Source organism: Homo sapiens, chromosome 1 (assembly GCF_000001405.40).
Source record: "Homo sapiens chromosome 1, GRCh38.p14 Primary Assembly".
Taxonomy (NCBI): domain Eukaryota; kingdom Metazoa; phylum Chordata; class Mammalia; order Primates; family Hominidae; genus Homo; species Homo sapiens.
In genome coordinates, this window is record NC_000001.11 from 154,168,559 (window position 1) to 154,193,423 (window position 24,865).

A 24,865-nucleotide genomic window follows, 5' to 3' on the forward strand; every position below is an offset into this window, starting at 1 on the left:
CAACCCAGACTGGAGTGCAGTGGCATTATCTCGGCTCACTGCAACCTCCATCTCCTGGTTTCAAGTGATTCTCCTGCCTTAGCCTCCCGAGTAGTTGGGATTATAGACATGCGCCACCAAGCCCAACTAATTTTTTAAATATTTTTTAGTAGAGACAGGGTTTTGCCATGTTGGCCAGGCTGGTCTTGAACTCCTGGCCTCGAGTCATCCGCCCACCTCAGCCTCCCAAAGTGCTGGGATCACAGGTGTGAGCCACTACGCCCAGCCTTTAATGTTTTTCTTTTTTTTTTTTTTTGAGATGGGGTCTCACTCTGTTGCCCAGGCTGAAATGCAGTGGCACATCTTGGCTCACTGTAACCTCTGCCTCCCAGATTCAAGCGATTCTCCTGGCTCAGCCTCCTGAGTAGCTAGGATTACAGGTGCACTGCCACCATGCCTGGCTACTTTTTGTATTTTTAGTAGAGACGGGGTTTCACCATGTTGGCCAGGCTGGTCTCCAACTCCTGACCTCACGTGATCCACCTGCCTCGGCCTCCCAAAGTGCTGGGATTACAGGCGTGAGCCACCGCGCCCGGCCATGCCTCCAAAGCTTTTGCCAAACAAATAACCAGCACCAATGTTTCAAAGATAAGGGTGGAGATTCTAGTTTCCAAAGGATAAAACCAAAGCACACCACTATGCATAGCTTGTACCCCCATCCACCCACAAGCCAAGATCCCAGCCCCACTCTACTGTCAGATAGTTACATAGAGGTCATGTCATTGAGGGCGTGGTCCAGCTCCTCGCTAATGGCCTTGTACTTCAGTTTCTGGGCATAGAGCTCATCTGGACAGGCACAGGAACCACAGGGAGGAATGAGGGGACAGAGTGAAGAGTTTCAGAAGCAGATGAAGAGAGGGAATCATTAGAAATTAGGAAAGTGTGACTGTGGGTCTAATACCACAGTTAGGAAAATATCTACTCTGGCAACCATGACTGGACATTTTCAGATCTACTCTCTCCTATGACCAACTTCCTTTCTTGATACTCCAAATCGACTGCAGCAAGGGCTGAGAACCTGGGCACAGTCATAACTAGAAATTCCTATTACCAAAAGCACTCAAGAGGATACCACTCCCATCCAGGTACCCAATTCCTAGCAGTGATAACACTTAATTGAACAAAAATAGCAAAGGGAGAGAGTATATATCCATATTCAGACACTTCTCTGCCTACAAAATGTGAACCTATTAGTGGCCCCTCTGCTCCACAGGCTGCCCCTGCAACTCTGCCAAGAGAGTGTACCAAAGGAGCATACATCAGAGTTCTCAAAGCAAAGAGTACGTTCCCTTGTCAGGGTGGATGGCAGTTACCAACTTGCAGGGACAGAAAGTATTTAGAAAGCTCCTGACATTGGTCAATGTTCAGATATGGTTATTCCACAACTTCATTTATTGGATAAATACCCGACAACTTGAGTGGCAAAAAGAACTGTGGAAAGTAGCCATGAAATGACATACATCTTGCCCTTCTGAAATCATGGCTTCCATTTAAACCCACAGACTAAAGGTTTAAGACTAATAAATTGGAGGTAAATGCAGCCATTATCATTCTCCTCAAAAGGGAAGGGTACAAATTGCAGACTATTTGGTAAAGTCTTCTTAAAGGAAAAGATTAAATTTAAAAAACCAATTCTAGAGTTTGACCCACTTTGCCTAGCTGTGGCATAGGACAGTGCACATGATATTAATACATGCCAAGTCACTACCAACTTCCTTTGGTGTACAGAAAAAGAGATTAATGGTTAATGGGCAGTCTTCCTCTATATTTCTCTATTTCAATCCCTACTCCAGGTTCCATACCTTCCAGGTCATCAATTGTCTTTTCCAGCTTGGCTACCGATCTCTCAGCAAACTCAGCACGGGTCTCTGCCTGGGGGAAATATGAAATTAGTCAGAACCAGAGATGAAGACAAAGAAGAACAATCTCTATTTCTTCCACCTTCTACTTCTGGACCTTTCAGAACCCAAACCAGCCAGTTTAAATCCATATTAATGCCTTATATACCTCTAAATGTTTTGGGTTCTGCCCTATAAATCCCCTCAGCTCACCTCCTTGAGTTTATCAGTAAGAATCTTGATTTCTTCCTCATATTTATCTTCTTTTTGAGAGTACTGTAAGATAAGTAGATTAAAAATTTCAGAGTAGAAATTAGTCACACAGGCAATACCCCCCTCCCTACATTTAACTTACATTGAATATCCTCTTGCACTAAATGTGCTGAATGGTCCAAGAGTAAGAGCAAGGCCTGGCTCTGGACAATAGGTCCTTGAAATTCAGAAATCTATGTCTTTAGAGCCATGAGATCCTCAGGTTAAAATTCTCCATGACTTTTTAAGATGGATCTAAGCTTTGATATTATTCAGATCAACCCAAGGAGGTGTTTTTCCTTTCCCCTGCTTGATGAGCAAGAGTAGTAGCACCCCAAGGTCACATGACTGAAACACACCCACATGATGGCAAAGTGAAGTCATCTGTCTTGATTGCTCATTAGGTCTCAGAGCTGATTCTGTCTGTTGCCCCCATCTGTCTGCTAGAAAGCCTGTTAGGGCCCTTGATTATTGCTTTTCAGCACAGCAGTATCAGCCTAAGGAGCACATGACTCCAGTAACCTGAGACCAAGAAGTTATTTTAATTAAAGCAATCAAAGTGCACAGAAAATAGCATTAAACCCAGAACCTGAATACATGGTAAGGAGGTAGGAAGAGGACACGCCTCACTGGATTATATATGGAATGCGTGTCTCCAGTCTTTCATCAAGGGCAGGGCTGGGCCCAGGCCCCAAAGCCTGTCACTTTCACAAACCAGCCCCTACCTTCTCCGCCTGAGCCTCAAGAGACTTGAGGTTGTTGGTGACATTCTTCAGCTCCTCCTCCAGCTCAGAACACTTACTGTGAATATTTTAAATACCACAGGAGAGGAAAAGGGAAAAGGAAGAGAATAAAAAAAGGGAGAGAGACACATAGACGTGAATTGAACCTATATGTAGAGAGAGTTGGAAGGCATACTGGGGAAGAGATGTTCCCAAGTAACCTGAGCAAGCATCAACCCTCCTCCCTCTACCATAGAACGTGTCAGGAGCTAGACCTTCCTGGGCTCAAAAATGTTTGAATACTAATAAAGCACTTGAGAGAAATCCACTACCAGGAACAAGTCATAACTGCTACCTGGGGTGGAGGTGGGAACAAATGCCCAACCCAAACAGTCCCCCAAATCACCCAAAGGAAGGAGACCCTGTGGAGAGGCAGTGAAGCAACTAGGAAAGAAGAGATGAAAGATGCCAAGTAAGTGGAAAAGAATGGAGCATTCCATGAAGAGATGAGACAGCACTCAACAAAATCAAGTGGAGGGGAGGCAGCTGCAAAACAAAAACAAAACAAAACAAAACCACACCACATATATAACCTTGCTGTGGGCTTAATGGTTAGTACCTTTTCTTCAGCAGCACTCAGACACTTCAGGTTCTGGTCCATCAGTCTAATCTGCTCATCCATCTCTCGGCAACGGCTGTTAGTGATAGTCACGGGGATGGCACAAGCCAGGTTGTGGGGAGGGAGAAAGGTCAAAAAGGAACACAGCAAGAAAACAAGCAGCAAAACGAAAAAAAAAAATTCAAAAAATGGGAAGAGAACACCACCATGGTCATGATATGTTATGTCTGGCAGACGGGAATGTAAGAGGGAAGCACAAATACATATGCATTCAGCACTGACTTTGTTAATCAAGGCCCAGAAGGTACCGACGGGAGAGCAGTTAATATCTACCCTTGCCCTAAGGTTCCCTAGCAGATTGGCAAAGTGGCCAAAACAGACACCAGATTTTTTTTTTAAATTTATTTGTTTTAGGGACAGGGTCTCCCTATGACGCCCAGGCTGGCCTCCAACTCCTGGGTTCAAGCAACCTTCCTGCCTTGGCATACTAAGTAGCTGGGACTACAGGTTTGAGCCACCACACCCAGCCAGACACTAGATCTTAAATCAGGATAGCCACTTTGATGTCTTCCACCCCAGGTGGAAGGACCCAGTAGGATCTTCCAATTAACTGTTCACCATGTATTAGTCCTTATTTGCTCTCAATTTGTAAACCCTACCAACAAAAAATAAGAAAGCCTCTTTTGTCACTTGTCACTAGTCAGGAGAATAAGGAAGCCTAAAACCATTCTTGGGCCTAAAAAAGCACTATAGATGACTCCCATTCCCTAGGCCCTGTTTAACAAGGTTGAAGGAATGCTAATTTATTCATATTAGTGCCCAAGCCAAAGGGGAAGGGATAAATTGGTAATGACAAGATTTGGGGAGCTAGATACTCACGACTCTGCCAGCTCAGCTCGTTCCTCTGTGCGTTCCAAGTCTCCTTCAATGATCACCAACTTACGAGCCACCTACAGGAAAAGATCCCAGTATAGCTTAGTGAAGCAAAGGAGCCATTTACCGCATTATGCTTTGTAAAAGGCCGATACGAGAGGGACTAACAGAAGGTCACTTACCTCTTCATACTTCCTATCTGCCTCTTCTGCAATGTGCTTAGCTTCTTTGAGTTGGATTTCCTGGAGTTCCATCTTTTCTTCATCTTTTAAGGCCCGGTTTTCAATAACCTTCATACCTCTGCCAGAAATAGGACAAAAGCAATACTGACACCCTGAGGAGTGTGTCGTCAGCTCCACTCCAAGGGTCTCAGAACTGTACTTTTAAAAGCCCACTCCTCTCTGTCTGCCCCTCAAATGGAAATTCCATGTTACTACTCCCACACCTTAGTTTAATTATTTCATTTAAAATTTTTTGTTATGGCTGGGCACAGTGGCTCACGCCTATAACCCCAGCACTTTGGGAGGCTGAGGCGGGCAGATCACCTGAGGTCGGGAGTTCAAGACCAGCCTGACCAACATGGAGAAACCCCGTCTCTACTAAAAATACAAAATTAGCTGGGCGTAGTGGCACATGCCTGTAATTCCAGCTACTTGGGAGGCTCAGGCAGGAGAATCACTTGAACTCAGTAGGTGGAGGTTGCGGTGAGCCGAGATCGAGCCATTGCACTCCAGCCTGGGCAATAAGAGCGAAACTCCGTCTCAAAAAAAAAAAAAAAACTTTTTGTTATAAAGGTAATACATCCTGGCCAAGCGCAGTGGCTCATGCCTGTAATCCCAGTACTTTGAGAGGTCAAGTCAGGTGGATCACTTGAGGTCAGGAGTTCGAGACCAGCTGGCAAACATGGTGAAACCCTGTCCCTACTAAAAATACAAAAATTAGCCAGGTGTGGTGGCAAGCACCTGTAATCCCATCTACTGAGGCAAGATAATCACTTGAACCCGGGAGGCAGAGGTTGCAGTAAGCCAAGATCGCACTGCTGCACTCCAGCCTGGGCGACAGAGTGAGACACCGTCTCCTCCACCACCCCCAAAAAAACTTATTAAGAAATTAAATACTAAAATATTAAATAAAAATATGGATATATACAGCTGGGCGTGGTGGCTCACGCCTGTAATCCCAGCACTTTGGGAGGCCGAAGCCGGCAGATCACCTGAGGTCAGGAGTTTGAGACCAGCCTGGTCAACATGGCAAAACCCTGTCTGTACTAGAAATACAAAAATTAGTCAGGCGTGGTGGCAGGCGCCTGTAATCCCAGCTACTTGAGGGAAGCTGAAGCATGAGAATGGCTTGAACCCGGGAGGTGGAGGTTGCAGTGAGCCGAGATTGTGCCACTGCACTCCAGCCTAGGGGATAGAGTGAGACTCTGTCTCAAAAAAATAAATAAATATTATTTAAATATATGTGTATATATATATATATATATATATATATATATATATATATACACACAAAAATCCCATCCCAGCTTCCCCAAAGTAATAATATACTAGACGGTTCTGCAACTTGTTTTCCACACTCTTTTTTTTCCCCCCGGTATTCAGCATGCAGCTATCCTCACTTTCTTTCTTTTTTTTTTTTTGAGACCAAAAAAAAGAGGGAGGCTCACTGCAACCTCCGCCTCTTGGGTTCCAGTGCTTCTCGTGCCTTAGCCTCCTGAGTAGCTGGGATTACAGGCGCGCCCCACCACGCCTGGCTAATTTTTGTACTTTTACCAGAGACTGGATTTTGCTGTGTTGGCTGGGGTGGTCTTGAACTCCTGGCCTCAAGTGATCGTCCACCTCAGGCTCCCAAAGTGCTGGGATTACAGGTGTGAGCCACTGCGCCCGGCCCTCACTTTCTATAATTTGCATGCTACTCTAATAGTATACACATAGCTGCCTCTTTCATTTTCACAGCTGCACAGTAGTAACGTACCCTTAGAAAGGCACTATTTATTCTGAAAACCCTTAGTTGTCAAGCACCTCTGTTCTAGTTTAACTCACATGTGGCAAGGAGACAACTGGCTATTTTCAAAAACATGAGTTATAATTTGTTTCAAGGGCCATGGTTCTCAACCCTAGGAACACATTAAAATTAGCTGGGGAAGGCCGGGCGCAGTGGCTCACGCCTGTAATCCCAGCACACTGGGAGGCCGAGGCGGGAGGATCACAAAGGCAGGAGATCAAGACCATCCTGGCTAATACGGTGAAACCCTGTCTCTACTAAAAATACAAAAAATTAGCCGGGCGTGGTGGCGGACACCTGTAGTCCCAGCTACTTGGGAGGCTGAGGCAGGAGAATGGCGTGAACCCGGGAGGCGGAGCTTGCAGTGAGCCCAGATTGCGCCACTGCACTCCAGCCTGGGCTATAGAGCGAGACTCTGTCTCAAAAAAAAAAAAAAAAAAAAAATTAGCTGGAGAACTTTAAAAACATCAATGCCCAGACCCCTCTTGCAACTGATTCTAATGGAACTGGGATGAGATCTAAGCATCCAGTTTTAAATTCCCCAGTGATTTCCCCCCTCACCCCTACCTATGATTCTAATAATGCAACCAGCGTTGAGAAGGCTTACTAAAAACAGATTGCCAGGCCCCACATCCAAAGTTTCTGATTCAGCAGATCAGCATAGGAGCTGAGAATGTGAATTTTTACCAAGTTCCCAAGTATTGCTGATGCTGCTGGTCTGAGACCTTACTTAGAGAACCTCTGTTTTAGAGAAATTAATCTCACAAATAGAAGCTTATGATCCAGAAAGTAGAAGTCATACTGGTGATCCCATTTTAAGGATCATTAGGCCAATTTGTAAGGAAATACCAATTACAAAAGGGTCACAACATCTAAGTTACCCTTACTGTCTTCAAGGGGACAGAATATGCAGAATAGAAAGGAGATCCTGTGTGATGGAGTTAGTATTTTATTTTTATTGACTGATTGACACAGGGTCTTTCTCTGTCACCCAGGAGTGCAGTGGCGCAATCAGAGCTCACTGTAGCCCCAACTTCCTGGGCTTGAGCCACCCTCCTGCCTCAGCGTCCCAAAGTGCTGGGATTACAGGCGTGAGCCATCACACGCAGCCAGAATTGCTATTTAGAAAACAGGTCTATAAGGAAATCTTGATCAGAACTATTATGAACTTTTAAAATCCACACTCCATCAGGCTTCCCTACACACCTCTCACTCTCATCAGCAGCTTTTTCAGCTTCTTCCAGCTTTTGCAGGGCAGTGGCCAGGCGCTCCTGAGCACGGTCCAGCTCTTCTTCAACCAGCTGGATCCTACGGTTCAAGGAGGCCACCTCAGCCTCAGCCTGCATTTGAAGGAAAGAATGGACAAGGGAAGCAGAGGCATGGAGAAAAGAAGAAATAACTATGACATTAAGATCAGGGTTGACTACCATGAAAAAGCCAGAGTCTCGCAGGGTAGAACTTGTCTTAGCTCAGCTGTTAAAAGATCTAGCAGACATAACTTTATATATATATATTTCCTCCCTTTCCCATCAACGAACTCCCATATGTTCCACAGGAAGAGTGTTTTAAAACTCAGTTCCTTGCCCAGCCCAGTGAGTTAGTACCACCCACTTCCTGGACTCAGTTCAAATTCCTCAACACACTGGAGTCAGAAAAGAAAGTCAATGAAGGGTTCCTTCTGCCTGAGCTCTGGCTTGGAGGCATGTCTCATCCTCAGTAACCTTTCAAGTGTCTCATAAAGCAGGAAAAAAAAAAAAAAAAAAGCAAGGTTTCTTAAAGAGGGTATCCTGACTGGGTGTGGTGGCTCATGCCTGTAATCCCAGTATTCTGGGAGGCTGGGGCGGGTGGATCATGAGGTCAGGAATTTGAGACCAGCCTGGCCAATATGGTGAAACCCTGACTCTAATAAAAAATACAAAAATTAGCCAGGTGTGGTGGCGCGTACCTCTAGTCCCAGCTACTCGGGAGGCTGAGGCAGAAGAATCCCTTGAACCCGGGAGGCAGAGGTTGTACTGAGCTGAGATTGCGCCACTACACTCCAGCCTGGGCAACACGGTGAAACTCCATTTCAAAAAAAAAAAAAAAAAAAGAGGGAATCCTGGATTACCTATTAATTGCTGCTTAACTCAAACCGTTATTCCTATGATCACTTTACCCTAACACATCAGAAGAATAACTAGCCAAGGGAATGTCTTCCAGAATAGCCTTCCAGACTGGAAAGCAAAAGAATGGAATATTGTTGGGATGCCTACTCACCAGCCCTTCAACTTGTGCCCCCGTACTCCTTTTTTAAGTTGGCTACAAGGAGCTGCTTCTGGCTAAAATTATCTGCTTTGATAGCTTTACAAAAAAGAAAGAACATTTCCACCACACCCACTACCATTCCTCCAAATTTCTGAATTTTCTCCTTTCTATTCCTCCAGCCATCCCCTTAGCTTCACCCTCTAATACAGCGACAATCTTCCCCCTGGCCTCCATCTCACAATGAAGTATATAGGTTAGAGTCCAAGTAAACCCATCCTGGATGGGTTTTCTCTAAGAAACAAGGAAAGAAGGAGGCAGCCTGCAGGTGGATGGATAAATTCTAATGGTAGGAAAACCTCTTTCCATGACTGCCTCCCCGCTACCTTTACTGGTGGGAGGTACCCTGACTGCAACAGTATACAAGAATTTAATATGCCCCGCACACCACCCAGTTCAGATGCTTATCCAAGTGCCTGGTAAACACGATCTCTCTTCTATAGCCCAGATTGTGCCTGAATTCTATTACCCTGATTTCTTCCTGGCAGGCAGGAGTTGGTGCAGCTATAGAAACAGCCTGGGCCACTAGCTCCGATGAGGAAGAATATAGACCAAAAGACTCCTTTTTAACCATCAGGACTGGCACAAAAACTTCCACATACAAACATGAGAAGCTGAAGAGACTAGGAAGGGAAGCAGAGGGCTGGGGCTACAATCTAGCCACCAGGCAAAGAAAATCGAGAAGTCAACATAAGCTGAAATCATTAAGAAACCATTTGTGCCTCTAACTACACTACTCAAAACACCACAAAGACAAGTATTCTCTGCTTCTGCCTCTTCCAGAAAAATAGATGTTCTCTGTAACAACACACATTTCTCCTCACAAACCCAACAAGGCCATGGATCAAGAGCAAGTCAGGCTATCAGGCAAGACCTAGGAGACACTGCTAGTAAAATGACTTACCCCCCTCAGACGAAAAATACAACTAGATTTAGAGGAAGCTCATGAAATGTAAGACATCATGCAGCTCACCAGTAGTTACCCAAACTGGAGTAGAAGATAACAGGCTATGGGGCGGGGGTGTACAGTTGCCATGACAGCAAGCTGGCTCAGGCAGTTTCTCCCACAAATCAGCATTTACAATAGAATTCTTAGCAAGGCTGAAAAGGGAGAGGGGGAAAACACATCTTGGTGCCCTCCTAAGAGCATGCACACATGAACAAGCCTGTATCAAAAGCAGAACCTGAGATGGGAGTCCTAGAAAAAGCTTCAGAGACCCCCTCCAGGGTGGAGTGGTAGGGAATGGGACCTTGCCTTTCTCTTTTCTCCTAGCACAGAGGATCAGTTCTCTTTACAATGAAACAAAAGCCTGCAGAATCAAGATCTGATACTTTGTTTAAAGGAACAAGGAAGACAAGCTGACTTTTCCCTCATGAGTCTATGCACAGTGCCTGTCCCTTTCAGGTCAAATAATACCAATGGGTACCAAGAGATTGAACAGGCCTACTTTTTGCAGACCAGGCTACCTGTGGCCCTGGGAAACGTTAAGCTCTGCACTTTCCTAATCATCTTAGGTTTTAGCATGCCCATCCAGATGCGGTTTTGGTGTTTCAGCTGACCTATCTCTGCCCAGTGTGGAGGATATACAGTACTCTGTGGTTCTTCCCTTCAAGTAATAATAGGATTCTCCACTGCCCAGGAAGCAAAGATCCTGGGTGAGGGATTGGGGAAAGAGTAGAATGCCCCAGCAACTCAGTCACATTACCAGATGGCTGACAACACCTTCGGCTATCCTCCACTCCAAAGAGATTTCCCAAATATGTCAACCCCTCCAGGCAAGAAACTGACAGTGTGATGGTACTCTCAGGCAGAACAGGGCCAAGGACAGAAGGGGATTAGCCTAAATCTGGCTTTCTGCCACACTGGGGTTTCTCTTATTAGATAAAAGCCACAGATAAAATTCAAATGAAAGAGTATCAGAAAGTTAGGCTTGAGCCCTGTGAGTAAAGGACTATTTGAGTTCACTGTGCTCACAAATGCATTACCCAGGGAGATACCGTGTCCTTGGGGAATTTAAACTTCACCAAAGGGGAGGCAAGTTGGAAGGGAGTAGAGCTATCTGCCCCACAGTAAACAAAGGCGGAGCCTAAGCAGGGGTAAAGGGCTATCTGCCTCTCCCCTGTGAGTGTGTGTTCTAGTACTGGGGAAAGAGAAAGGAAAGCAAAGCAACCAAAGAAAGGTTGCTTAGTCCACCAGGCCCACGAATAGAAGAGAACCACACAACAGTCAAGCATTCTAACCTCTCCAGAGACTAGGAATTTAGGATTAAGGCCAGAATCAAAGCCCACTCCCTCGGTAGTACTCTTAAGGTTTTTGTTATTACTTTTTTTTTTCTTTTTGAGGCAGAGGTAGTGTGCTGACCTTACACTCCCGCAGTTGACCCCTCACTCCCCCAGTGCCGATACTCGCCCAGGCTGGAGTACAGTGGCATGATCCAATCCTGGTTCACTGCCACCTCCGCCTCCAGGGTTGAAGCAATTCTTGTGCCTCAGCCTCCCAAGTAGCTGGGATTACAGGCATGCGCCACCATGCCCAGCTAATTTTTTGTATTTTTAGTAGAGATGGGGTTTCATCAGATCCACAGGTGGACCTCAGATCCACCCGCCTAGGCCTCCCAAAGGGCTGGGATTACAGGTGTGAGCCACCGCACCCAGCCTCTTAAGTTTTTTAGACTAGAAAAAAATTAAAAAGAGAAAAATATCAGGGACAATTAGGAGAGAGTTATTAAAAACAGATAAGGTGAACTGTACATTTATAAATGGTTAAAATGGTAAATTTTACATGTATTTTTATCACCACTACCACAAAAAAAAAGAGATAAGGAAAAAGACTGCATTTAAACATTATGTTGCCATCTGTTTCCATTTAGACAGAAGTAAAAAGGAAATACAGAACTGAAAGTAAATTTGACAAGGTGCTACATTATAAAAGACCAATTTCCAGGCCGAGAGCAGAAAAGAAAGATGGATCCTAGAACACCAGTGTCTCAGTTTTAGACTCATCTAGCTTCCCAACAAGGGTGGCTTGGATGTTCACACAAAGTAACCAGGAAAATAATTAAGTGACAATCCCACTAACAGCATGAGATACCATCAGAGAGTGCAGTTTCCCGCTCCAGAGGAGGGAGGAGTCTGCAAAACCCACATTCCAGAATGCCTTAAGAGGATAACAGGTAGCCCAAGCAACCCCCCTCCCTTCCCACAGGTGTCTCCTCCTCAGTAGGGGTTCAAAGTTCAGCAGAGCAGCAGAAAGTCAAAAGATTAAGCTTCTTCAGGCTGGGGAGTAGAAGAAATGATTTCATCAATATTTAACTATAACTCTACTTCCCCATTCTGAGGACTTCCTCACTAGACCTCAGCTCAATAAGCAAATTTGGCAGGCTCTGAGTGAAAGTAGCTTAAGAAACATCACCCCAGGACAGGCGCAGTGGCTCATGCCTGTAATCTCAGCACTTTGGGAGGCTGAGGCAGGCAGATCACTTGAGGTCAGGAGTTTGAAACCAGCCTGGCCAACATGGTGAAACCCCATCTCTACTAAAAATAAAAAAATAAAATAATAAAAAAAAATCGCCGAGTGTGGTGGTGGATGCCTGTAATCCCAGCCACTCAGGAGGCTAAGGCAGGAGAATCACTTGAGCCTGGGAGGTGGAGGTTGCAGTGAGCAGAGATCGTGCAACTGCATTCCAGGCTGGGCTACAGAGCAAGTCTCCATCTAAAAAAAAAAAGAGGGGGGATGGGAGGCAGGAATCACCCACCTTAGAACTACTCCTAGAATGTCCATATTTAAATACTGAGCCTAAGATTCTGCAGCTCAACACATGGCCAGTTCCTCTGTCTTCCCCTTTAAAGCTATCTGGTCTCCAGAACAAAGGAGATGAGAAAGTGCCACTGGCCATAAAGAGTCACCCAGCCAGTCCATCTCACTTGCACAGATAATAAGAAGTTGTTGGCAAACTGAACAGAGGAAAAAAATCTACCTAGAAAAAGGTGTCTGAGGAAGACAACAAGCTCCCATCCCAGCATCTCCATGACCACTTATAAAAATAAGTGAGTATTCCAACAATCTTTAAGTATTTAAACTGGAGGGCAGCTGTCCCCCAATTACCATCCTTTTCTGAAATCCACCCCTCCCCCTCCCAAAAACATTCTCAGTTATTTCCCAGAGGAGCAGCCAAAAAGAAAAACAAAAACAAAAACTTACCAAGGGAAAGAACAAAGAACAAAGAATAAACCACATGAGTACTTTCACTGGATCTTGAATTTTAGCAACAGTTACTTTACTCTCTCAAGATCCTCCAAAACAAAGCCTCAACTCGTATCAGCTCCATCTATTAGACTGCACCCTAGACCTTGGAAAATCTTATGGCTTACACTAAAACTAATCAGCCACTTTTAAACAGAAAGACGTTTAAAGAAATCACTAGAATAGGCTGGGCACGGTGGATCACACCTGTAATCCCAGCACTTTGGGAGGCAGAGGTGGGTGGATCACCTGAGGTCAGGAGTTCGAGACCAGCCTGGCCAACATGGCGAAACCCCGTCTCTACCAAAAATACAAAAAATTAGCCAGACTTGGTGGCGGGCACCTGTAATCCCAGCTACTCAGGAGGCTGAGGCAGGAGAATCACTTGAACCCGGGAGGCGGAGGTTGCAATGAGCCGAGATCATGCCATTGCACTCCAGCCTGAGCGACAGAGTGAGACTCTGTCTCAAAAAAAAGAAAGGAAGAAAGAAATCACTAGAATCACTGTTCACTCCACCAACATTTTATGTTTCCACTTTCAGTTGAACAAATATTCCACTAGAGTCACCTGGAATTCATTATTGTCTCCACCAAATTGCCCAAGTCAATCAGAAACCTTGAGACTGGCACACCATCTGATTCTCTGCCATACACTCGCTTATCAGCTCTGCTCGGAAGAAATGTTCTTAACCAGTTCGGCTTGCACTGATCACACTTCAGCAATAAAGGCCTGAATCTGACAGAAGTTCCTGCCTTCCAGGTCATTGTGGGTAGGGCCAGGCAAGTTTGGTTGGCTCCTACATTTGCACTAACGTTGAGAGAAGTACTATCCCCTCCCCTGCCGTTTCACGTAGATTCAGAGAGTGGGTGTAGCAGCTGCAAGAGCACCCCGTAAGAGGAAAGGGCCCCTGGCCAGAGGATGAGAGGCGGTCCTGTGGCCTCGAGCTCCTCCAGGGAGGGAGGGCACCGCGCTTCCTCTCAGCCAACTGCTGCCTCATTTCCTGAGCAGGAGGAGGGAGCGGAAAAGCTGCCAGCAGGCAGGCCGGGGTCTTTCCGACGGTTCCCACCCCAAAACCCTCACCATTTCACAGAAGGTTCAGTACTGCCCCTCCCCGAACAGAGAAGCACCCACCCACTCTTACCCCTTGGGCAGGAAACCTCAAGCCAGAGCAAAGTTCTCCCACCCTCCATGGGGAAGTGGGGGAGGGAGAAGCCGCTGAGCCCCTCCCACGGCCGCGCCCGGATCGGAGGCACTGAATGAATGAGGTGGAGAAAAAAAGAGGAGGAAAGCCACACCCCAAACCCCGTAAGGCTCAATTTCTTCAAAGGTCAAGCCTGCTCGCCCGAGCACTGTTTCCCCCTCGTCCGCTTGGTGTCCTACTGGTGCTGAGCCCCACCCATCCTCCGAGATCCCAACTTCATCTCCGAGCCCGCCGGCCTTCAGAGGACCGTGCTCCACGGCAAAAGGGACCTTATTCCGCTTGCCGGATACTCCAGCGCCTGCCCCTCCCTCATGAGCCTCACCATCTCCGTACCTGTTCCCGGGCCCGCCTTTCTCCCTCAACTTCTCGCTGGAGGCGCTCAGCTCGCTCCTCTGCATCATCTGCCTGCTGCTGCAGAACCTGGATCTTGCGCTTCACCGCCTCGATGGTGGTGATCCCAGCCATGGTGCCCACCCAGCTACTGCTCGCGCTCCGGTTCCTGCCTCCTCCGCTCGGCGTTGCAGCCTCCTCTCACCCTTACTTCCGCCTGCTACGCCCTGAAATACCGGAACTCACCAACCCGCCCGGATGTGACGTCCCTCTGCCGCGCCCTCCCACCGCCAGGCAGGCGGGAAGGCAGTCCACTGGAGGGAGAGCCGCGGCAGGGAGTGGATCCTCCCAGTCGCCCTGGAGTACGGCTCCCGGCCTTACCTTGGGCCAGTAAACTGGGACGGGGTTGGGACGAGGGAGTGTTACCATGGTAACTGGGCGGCGCTTCGTGCCCTAGCCTCTCCCGCCAGGCTGGCTGCCCACAATGGTTGGCCCCTTTGCAGGTAGTCGGCTGACCTTACACTCCCGCAATTGACCCCTCACTCCCGCAATGCCGATACCCGTCACCCCTCACTGTATTTGCTCCACAATATAAACATCCTACAAGTCTCTGCTTCCACTCACCCCACGACAAACTCCAAAACCAAGTTATAAGAAAAGTCTAAAAGACTTTCTGGGCCTCAGGTTCAAAAGAGCCCCACTCAGTCTCCTTTCAAAGTCGGCTCAGGTAGGTAGGTTCTCTCTCCCGTCTCCTGGAAGTCAATGAATGGAACTGTCGGAGTGGAAGGGATGGGCAAGATGGCACAAATTCTCATTCTATTTGGCATGGTATGAACTTAAGTGTTCTATTTAGAACAGACTTTTCTCCTTTTTTTTTTTTTTTTTTTTTTTTTTAAGAGACAAGATCTCGCTCTGTTGCTGGAGTGCGGCAGTGGCGAGATCACAACTCACTACAGCTTCGAACTCCTGGGCTCAAGCGAGCCTCCTACCTCAGCCTCCGGTGTAGCTGGGACTACAGGTGCACGCCACCCCGTCAGGCTCCCTGTTATTTTATTTATTTTTGTTTTGTTTTTTATTTTTTGGGACGGAGTCTCCTCTGTCGCCCAGGTTGGAGTGCAGTGGTGCGAACTCGGCTCACTGTAAGCTCCGCCTCCCGGGTTCAAGCGATTCTCCTGCCTCAGCCTCCCGAGTAGCGCCCTCCACCACGCCCGGCTAATTTTTTTTTTGTAGTTTTAGTAGAGACGGGGTTTCACCGTGTTAGCCAGGATGGTCTCGATCTCCTGACCTCGTGATCTGCCGGCCTCGGCCTCCCAAAGTGCTGGGATTACAGGTCCCTGTTACTTTTGAGAGTCATCATGCACCAAATTAACCAACCTTCCAGCCCCTCCAAACCTTGGAATGATTCAGGACTTGGCAATTTAATCATCAGCTGGGCGTGGTAGCTCATGTCTGTAAGTCTAGGATTTTGGGAGGCTGAGGTGGGAGGATGGCTTGAGCCCAGGAGTTCAAAACCAGCCTGGGCAATATAGCAAGACCTCATCTCTAAAAATAAATAAATAATTTAATAATCACTTACAATTCCTTTTGTAGGTAAGAAAGATATGCCCCCATTTTATCAGGAAGAAATCCTCTATTACAGACCACTGTCAGCCGGGCGGGGTGACTCATGCCTGTGATCCCAACATTTGGGAGGCCAACGCGAGAAGATCACTTCAGCCCAGAGTTTGAGACCAGCCTGGGCAGTATAGTGAGACCTCGTCTCTACAAACAATTAAAAAATTAGCCAGGCTTGGTGGCAGCACGTCTGTAGTCCCAGCTACTTGGGAGGCTGAGGTGGGAAGATTTCTTGAGCCGGGAAGGCAGAGGTTGCAGTGAGCCAAGATTGTATCACTGCCTCCAGTCTGGGTGACAGATTGAGAGCCTGTCTCAAAAAAATAAAAAACAGACGACTGTTACTAGATCCTTCATGCAACAGCCAGACATGAGTGCCTGTAAACTGTACTATAGAATTGAGCCTCCATTCTGTTACAACTTTTACCAATTTCAATGCCACTGTACTTCCAAGTACCCCCAAGGAACTGTTTATGAGTTAGAAACTTCCCTTTGGCCAGATGTGGTGGCTCATGCCTGTAATCCCAGCACTTTGGGAGGCCACGGCGGGCAGATCACCTGAGGTCAGGAGTTTGAGACCAGCCTGGCCAACATGGCAAAACCCCGTCTCTACTAAAAATGCAAAAATTAGCCGGGTGTGGTGGTGCACACCTGTAGTTCCAGCTATTCAGGGAGGCTGAGGCAAGAGAATTGCTTAAATCCAGGAGGCAGAGGTTGCAGTGAGCTGAGATGGTGCCACTCTACTCCAGCCCGGGTGACAGAGTGAGACTCTGTATCAAAAAAAAAAAAAAAAAAATGGCAAAACAGACCAGGCGCAGTGGCTCACACCTGTAATCCCAGCACTTTGGGAGGCTGAGGCAGGTGGATCACGAGGTCAGGAGTTCAAGACCAGCCTGGCCAAGATGGTGAAACCCTGTCTCTACTAAAAACCACAAAAACAAGCAAACAAACAAACAAACAAAAAACTAGCCAGGTGCAGTAGCAGGCGCCTGTAATCCCAGCCACTCGGGAGGCTGAGGCAGGAGAATTGCTTGAACCCAGAAGGCAGAAGTTGCAGTGAGCCGAGATCGCGCCACTGCACTCCAGCCTGGGTGACAGAGTGAGACACAGTCTGAAAAAAAAAAAAAGAAAAACAACAAAAAAAGAAACTTTCCCTACAGGCACTGCCATGCAGGATTTCTGGAAGCACAATAGTAAAGAGACTTGAGAACGTTATCTTCCCTCTTATTTCTTTGTATTCCTCCCACCTTCCCAGTAGGTAATCGTGATAAATTTTTCTTCTGGGACAGCTCTCTTTTCTCCTAGAAAATTAGGATGTGGAACAGGACTTACAATGAAGAGTCCTAATCCCTGAAAGGAATAGTAGGCAAGACAGTTGCTGCCCTCAATGTCTAGTTCTAAGAATGCTCCCTGCAGAGCCTCTGTTTTCCTATCACCTTTTGGAAATACCGAGCAATGAGACTATTCAGAAGAAACAACTTGGATAGATAATAATTTTCTCAATAGAGTAACCTGCACACTGATTTTTCCCCCAGAAATTAGGAAGGAAGATCAGGGTTCTGACTCTTAATAGACTCTACCCTGATGGCCTAAGAATTTTTCTAACTTGCTTTGTAGAAGTCTGATCAAGATGTGGCAGAAGTGACACTTTGTCATCTGGGTGCTGCTCAGCAGGGGGCACTATTGTACCTCCCTGTGCCCTGGTAAAGCAGCAGAAGACCTCATCCTAGCCAAACCAAGAGGGTATTGAGAGCACCACTGCATTTCTGAGACTGGTAGATTTGAGCAGATAATCTCCTCTTAATGCAGTCAAACAGATGGACTGACTCATGATAGCCTTTAGAAGCACAATGGATAGACAGCAAGGGGCCCAGTGCTATTGTGTTCCTAGTAACCAGCAATACAATATATCAACAGGTGTATATGTCCATCGTTGTCCCTTCTCTCCCCATCCTTCCTGCCACCTGTCCCTAAAAAATGGTGTTATGACTCTATGTCCTAACAATGCACTCCTCTTTCCCTTTGTTTCTCCCTAAACAGCATCTGATTTCATCTTGGATTAAAATGATCTTAGATGTGGTTGCACAACAATGTAAATATGCTACTACTGAATTAGACATTTAAAAATGGTTAAAATGGTAAGTTTTATGTATGCGTATTTTACCACAACTTAGAAAACAAAGTTAGACAAATTTAGGGAGGAAAAAAAAGTTTGGACTCGCCTTGCCATACCCTTGCCCTTTCTTTATTCAAGCAGTCCTAGTAAATCCTGCACTTTTCAGAAAGGCTTCTCAGATAACCAGAACTGCTTGTGTAAACACGTAGTTATTGACTCCCTCCTCCTTCTCTACTGCTTATATCTACTTCAAGATAATATGCTCTGTTTACTTATTTATTAACCTCAAGGACAGAAGCTGAGCTGTTAACTTCCTTTGTATTGGACAGAGTATACTCCCTCCAAAGATGCATATATTATGCTGCTGATGACTCTTACCTTTGCTTTCTGCTTTTAACCTTGTTGGTCCTTATTCAGCACCTCTCCCAATTCCTATAAACACTGTCCTTCTTTGACCCTTTGAGGCAGGGGTCATCCAACTTTTAGGGTCTTGTGGCCAGAGAGATAAGAAAGCCAGTAGACAGTATGTACAAGAATGAGCATGACTGTGTTCCGATAAAACTTTATTTACAAAACCAGGCTGTTGCAAGATTTAACCCACAGGTGGTAGTTTGCTGACTCTAGCTTTGAGGAAAGAAACCTTTCTTCTTGCTTGCTCCTGGCCACAACCTTCCCTCTCCTGTTTCTTGTTCTTATGCATATCTCTGAGGGTACTTTCTGACTTGGGAAAGCTAACAAAGGGGAGAGGGGTTGAATGAGTATTTTTAACCCTCACTTTACATATTTAAATGGGTTTTGGTGGATTCCTATGTAAATATGAAGAAACTTCTTTCAAATGAATATACTGAGTAGACCACATCTAGGTGAGGGGTGCTATGTGTGTGTATGTGTATGTCTGTACATGTGTAAAACAGATTAAGATAGACAGAATTCATCCCCAGGAAATCCTTTTATATTCCTAATGATTTTGATGTATTGCGTACAGCCTCTATGTTATTCTCCTTCTCATGATCTCAGGTTAGACTTGTTCTTTTTCTTGCTCCTGGAAACACCTCCTCAAGCCCACATACTAGCCGTTTCAGCCTAAGAGCAGACCCAGATTGATGTTACCCAATTTCTCACAAAACTGTTATTAACCTGACATTGTGCTAGTTTGTGAAAACTTCTATCTTCATGCCCATATGTTAGAAACAGAGAGATCCATCCAAATATACCAGGAACCTAGGCTATACAACTCCAGCCAGCCATCCACTTGCCCAAAGCCCAGGGGTAACCTGTAGATTTGGTAGGGTTGTTTGTTTGTTTGTTTTGTTTTGTTTTTTTGAGTTTTCTGAGAAGGGAGAATTTTTATCATTTTAAATAGAGACAGGGTCTTGCTCTGTCACCTAGGCTGGAGTGCAGTAGCATTATCATACCTCACTGCAAGCATGAACTCCTGGCTTCAAGCGATCCTCCCATCTCAGCCTCTGGAGTACGCGGGACTACCGGCACATGCCACCACACCTGGCTAATTTTTAAATTTTTTGTAAAGATAGGGCCTCACTATGTTCCCCAGGCTGGTCTTGAACTCCTGGCCTCAGGCGATTCTCCTGCCCTGGCCTCTCAAAGCAAAGTGCTGGAATTACAGGTCTGAGCCACCACACTGGGCACAAGAAGGGAGAATTAATAGTTTGTGGCGGCCTGGCCGGGCGCGGTGGCTCACACCTGTAATCCCAGCACTTTGGGAGGCCGTGGCGGGCGGATCACAAGGTGAGGAGATCGAGACCATCCTGGCTAACACGGTGAAACCCCATCTCTACTAAAAATACAAAAAATTAGCCGGGCGCGGTGGCGGGCACCTGTAGTCCCAGCTACTCAGGAGGCTGAGGCAGGAGAATGGCGTGAACCCAAGAGGCGGAGCTTGCAGTGAGCCAAGATCGTACCACTGCACTCCAGCCTGGGTGACACAGCAAGACTCCGTCTCAAAAAAAAAAAAAAAAAAAAGCCTGTGCTGGCCTTAACTTTTGGAAGAATGAGTTTAAATGATGTATATTTAGTTTGTGTTTCTAACCTCTGGCATAATATATTCAATTCTTACCACTTTCCTTGGCCACTGAAAGTGGTGGAAAACAAAACAGATCAGAAACCTAATGGCAGAGGCCAGGCATGGTGGCTCACATCTGTAATCCCAGCATTTTGAGAGGCCAAGGTGGGTGGATCACTTGAGGTCAGGAGTTGGAGACCAGCCTGGCCAACATGGTGAAACACTGTCTCTACTAAAAATATAAAAAATTACCCGGGCATGGTGGCAGCTGCCTGTAATCCCAGCTACTCAGGAGACTGAGGCAGGAGAATCACTTGAACCCGGGAGGTGGAGGTTGCAGTGAGTCGAGATCTTGCCACTGCATTCCAGCCTTGGTGATAGAACAAGACTCTGTCTCAAAAAAAAAAAAAAAAAAAAAAAAAAAAAAAAAAAAAAAAAAAAAAAAAAGCCCAGGCGCAGTGGCTTAGGCTGGGCGCAGTGGCTCACGCCTGTAATCCCAGTACTTTGGGACACTGAGGCAGGCGGATCACTTGAGGTTAGGAGTTCGAGACCAGCATGGCCAACATGGCGAAACCCCATCTTTACTAAAAAAAAAATACAAAAATTAGTTGGGTATGGTGGCACACACCTGCAATCCCAGCTACTCGGAAGGCTGAGGCAGGAGAATGGCTTGAATCCAGGAGGCACAGCTTGCAGTGAGCCTAGATTGTGCCACTGCACTCCAGCCTGGGCAACAGAGCGAGACTCCATCTCAACAACAACAATAAAAAGAAACCTGGCTGGGCGGGGTGGCTCACGCCTGTAATCCCAGCACTTTGGGAGGCCGAGGCAGGCGGATCACCTGAGGTCAGGAGTTCAAGACAAGCCTGACCAATATGATGAAACCCCGTCTCTAGTAAAAATATGAAAATTAGCCAGCCAGGCATGGTGGCACGTGCCTGTAATCCCAGTTACTCAGGAGGCTGAGATAGGAGAATCGCTTCAACCTGGGAGGTGGAGATGGCAGTGAGCCGAGATAGTACCATTTTATTACAGCCTGGGCAACAAGAGTGAAACCCTGTCTCAAAAAAAAAAAAAAAAAAAAAAGGAAAAGAAAAGGAAAGAAACCGGATGGCAGAGAGACCAAATATGAGGATCCGAAAGCATTTATGAATGGTTCACTCTGTCTGTCCTTCTAGCTATTTTCCAAAACCAAATGTGATTTTATTTTATTGACTTATTTTTTGAGACAGAGTCTCTCTCTGTTGCCCAGGCTAGAGTGCAGTGGTACGATCTCGGCTCCATGCAGCCTCCGCCTCCTGGGTTCAAGCGATTCTCCTGCCTCAGCCTCCTGAGTAGCTGGGATTACAGGCACCCGCCACCACACCTGGCTAATTTTTGTATTTTTACTAGAGACAGGGTTTCACCATGTTGGCCAGGCTGGTCTCAAACTCTTGACCTCAGGTGATCCACCCGCCTCGGCCTTCCAAAGTGCTGGGATTACAGGCGTGAGCCACCGCACCCAGCCCAAATATGATTTTAAATATTACATGCTCCTTTTTTCCTATTAACTCAGTTCACTGAGAAACTTGTTTCCACCAATACTGGGACATTTCTGTTGTTGTTGGTAAGATTCCTATGGTACTTTTCTTCTAAAAAACTTTTCAATCTACTCTCTCATTTATCTTTGCAGCAAACTTCAAGGTTAAAGATGAAGGAAAGTAGGTGATGATGATGGGATAATATGAGATGGAAAAGAGAATTTATTTTATTTGAGAATGGGAAAATTCAGCCCTAGACAAGCTGAGTAATTACTCACGGTCATAGAGTGAAGTCTGGTGGTGATACCTTTACCCCCTAAGATTCTTTCTTAGTTTCTATTATACTCTGTCACTGTAGGGATCTCTCTGCTGCCCTAGGAGCAATGCTTCATATGGCATCTCCATGGCATAAAGGCAAATGCCTGCATTGGCCAAGATAAATAAACCCATATATGGCCAGGGTCAGTGTGACCTCCATTTCCCATTGTGAAATCCGAGCTGGTTTTGTTGGACAGTTGAGAGATGAGAGGTTCCCTATTAATACACATATCCACATGCCAAGACTTGGACATAAAAGCTAAGAATGTGGCATGGGGGAGGAGGTAGGATAAGTGACAGCATTCTGAACTTAGAGTCCCCTCTCTTTGTCCAGGTCCTGGGAAAGATAATTAAATTCCTGGGTTGGTGATAGGAGATAAATGAGACCTTTACATGTATTAAAAAAAAACTTTTAACATGTTGGAGATGTCTTTAAGAAAGAAAATACATGCCATTATGAGAATATACCAGCATGTGGTTATATGCAAAAATGTATGTGAGTATATATGTCTGTGTTCCATGAACCCACAAGTGTGTTTGGAATTTCGTCATACATTAACATAAAGATCTATATGTGTAGATTAAACCCATCCTCCATCTCTCTAATACTCACATCAGCAGCCTTCTTCTCTGCCAGTTCCAGCTTCTCCTGGGCATCCTTCAAAGCTTCAGAATACTTGTCCAGCTCATCCTCTGTCCCTTTCAGCTTCTTCTGCATGGCTGCCAGCTCATCCTCCAGCTATAGGAGCCCAGAGAGTCACACACAAAAACACACAAACACAACAATGCAGGGTTGGACCCTGGGCTCTTGGAGCCCTGAGTGTAACCTCCATGTTACCATCCCTAGTGAGACACACTTTCTCCCCAGCCACTTCCAGCCCACTGCCTCAGGAGTTATGCCGTAGCTTGGCCTGTGACCCTGTAATCTCTGATCCTAAGATGACCAAGCCATCCTGGGTTTTCATCCAAGACCCCTGGATGATAAATATCTAAAGTGTAGATGCCCGTGATGCTATTTGAGTGAAAAGAGATGCTCTTTCCCTCTAGAACTCTTACCTTTTCCTCTAGAAGTCAAGGGTTCTTCCAAAACATGGTCCATTTCTACTTAAATTCAGCAGACATACTGTGGCTCACTGACTTTCCCAAGGTCACAAAGGCAGTCTGAGACAGATATGTTAGATATCCTCTGCTCCTCCAGTGAGGCTGGGGAGTCCATCCCACCCCCAAAAAGGAGGTGACACCAGTAGTCACTGTCTTTCCCATGAAAACTCCCTTCCATTTCACAGTCTTGTTCACTAGCAGATGAGAGAGATCAATGCCAGTGCCTACCTGTTTACTTCTTTCTTCTGCCTGCTTCTGCTCAGCTTCAGCTTGCTCTGCCCGATCCAGAGCATTCTCCTTGTCTAACTTCAGCATCTGCATCTTTTTCTTGATGGCCTCCATCATGAGCAGTGGCTGTTGGTAGGCTCACCTGTGAACACTGGAGAACTGGAGACTGGGGCAAGAAAGAAGGGGCTGCTGCCTGAGTGACCAGGAGGTCCCCAGACTTGAGTCTTTATCTGTGCTCATAGCTCCACCTTTTGTTCCTAATATGGTCTTTCCAGCTCCCTCCACCCCATCATTGTTCTCCTGGGGGAACACAGGGTGAGACGCTTTGATGAACTGACATCACCAGCAAAAAAAATATCTAGCAACAGCTGAGGCTGATTTTAGACAATGGAAAGTGGGGGAGGGAAGAGGTTCTCCCTGACCCTGAAACTTTCCACTCATTCTGGGCAGCTCTATGGATGTTTTAAAAGAAGAGGAAGAGGGGAGGGAAGAACATTGAAATAGAGAAGTGTACTTTGGCAATTCTAGGTTGGCAGTTTGCATCCAGGGGGTCCTGGTTGCCTTTCAGCTTCCCGTTTCACTCTCCCCCAGACTGTGTTGAATGCTGGTCAAACTCCGTTAGTTGAGTTTTAGCTTTTGATTCCTGGTATTCAAGGAGCTTGGGCACAGGGAAGAGGGGAGGTCACTCATGATCCTTAACAATTCTCCCAGATCCCCAGATCAAATTGCTGTGCTATTCTGGGAGTCTCCGATTGGCAGGGAGACGTTTTTCCTCCCCACCAAGAGCCACAAGAGTAGAGTAAGAGGTAGGGTTGGAATCTCCAACCCTATCCTTGAAGGCTATCCCAGAGCTTCAAGTGGGGTGGGGAGAGAAACAGGGGAGGGTCAGAACAATCCAGACAGGATCATACCCTTTGTTTTCCCACAGTAATCTTAAAATAGAACTGTTGTACCCACACAGACTTTGGTCTGTGTGGCTCTCTCCTCTTCTTCCCTTTATCTTCTCCCTTCTTAATTCTCCCCAACGCTGCCACTCACCACATCATCGTAATCATCATTATCAGCTCTATTCTTTCCAGTTTAGTTCCAGACCATGTTTATTCTTCCATTGGGAGCCTTGTTACTAACAGGTGGCAAGGATACCAGTCCACTGGCACCATACACCTGAAAATATGCCAAGGGAGAGGTGGGCACTGTTCAAGGTGACCAGATATATTGGACAAATATAAATGGCTCTAGTTAGTCATTTATGTCAGGATACTGAGAGTTAATGCTAAGCCCCAGCAATGGGGGAACGGAGACACCCACCAGGCCAGTGGGTAGAGCAGAGCTGGAGTCCACTATTGAGAGCTTCCAGTCACTAGAGGTAGATAGGCAGATAGACCATCAGCTGACTCTCGACAGAGAGAGGAGAAACCAAGTCTCCTTTCTCTGGAGATTAGCCAGGGAAAGGGGTTAGGGAACAGGGAGAGGAAGGAGTGGAAAATGGGGGGGGGGTGGGCAAGTGAATAAGGGGGAGAAA

The 24,865-nt window shown here is 46.3% G+C and overlaps 1 protein-coding gene across 17 annotated transcripts in view, besides 3 other annotated features; it reads right to left on the reverse strand.

The window, feature by feature from the left end:
* The window catches only part of TPM3 (tropomyosin 3), a 36,793-nt gene extending 13,251 nt beyond the window's left edge, over positions 1-23,542 (reverse strand). For 2 of the 17 annotated variants that reach the window (NM_001364679.2, NM_001364681.2), the window contains exons 1-8: positions 23,344-23,542; positions 22,628-22,753; positions 7,557-7,690; positions 4,526-4,643; positions 4,350-4,420; positions 2,855-2,930; positions 2,091-2,153; positions 1,842-1,911 (exon numbers count right to left, since the gene is read on the reverse strand). In NM_001364679.2, coding sequence (NP_001351608.1) covers positions 1,842-1,911; positions 2,091-2,153; positions 2,855-2,930; positions 4,350-4,420; positions 4,526-4,643; positions 7,557-7,690; positions 22,628-22,753; positions 23,344-23,460 — 775 coding nt within the window. In that variant the 5' untranslated portion in view covers positions 23,461-23,542. Of the gene's footprint in view, positions 1-746; positions 826-1,841; positions 1,912-2,090; positions 2,154-2,854; positions 2,931-3,470; positions 3,547-4,349; positions 4,421-4,525; positions 4,644-7,556; positions 7,691-9,555; positions 9,647-14,429; positions 14,661-18,699; positions 18,885-22,627; positions 22,754-23,070; positions 23,176-23,343 lie in introns of those variants that run through there. The other 15 variants (NM_001278189.2, NM_001364683.1, NM_001043351.2 and 12 more) reach the window with 12 other exon arrangements.
* Positions 11,635-12,631: an enhancer, noted in NCBI's record as "H3K27ac-H3K4me1 hESC enhancer chr1:154152669-154153665 (GRCh37/hg19 assembly coordinates)". NCBI's record gives its function as "activates a minimal SCP1, AML or CMV promoter by ChIP-STARR-seq in primed H9 embryonic stem cells {active_cell/tissue: H9 hESC(primed)}" and the evidence as "EXISTENCE:reporter gene assay evidence [ECO:0000049][PMID:30033119]".
* Positions 13,605-14,231: an enhancer, noted in NCBI's record as "H3K27ac hESC enhancer chr1:154154639-154155265 (GRCh37/hg19 assembly coordinates)". NCBI's record gives its function as "activates a minimal SCP1, AML or CMV promoter by ChIP-STARR-seq in naive H9 embryonic stem cells {active_cell/tissue: H9 hESC(naive)}" and the evidence as "EXISTENCE:reporter gene assay evidence [ECO:0000049][PMID:30033119]".
* Positions 14,346-14,565: an enhancer, noted in NCBI's record as "active region_1773". NCBI's record gives its function as "activates an Ori minimal core promoter by ATAC-STARR-seq in GM12878 lymphoblastoid cells {active_cell/tissue: GM12878}" and the evidence as "EXISTENCE:reporter gene assay evidence [ECO:0000049][PMID:35858748]".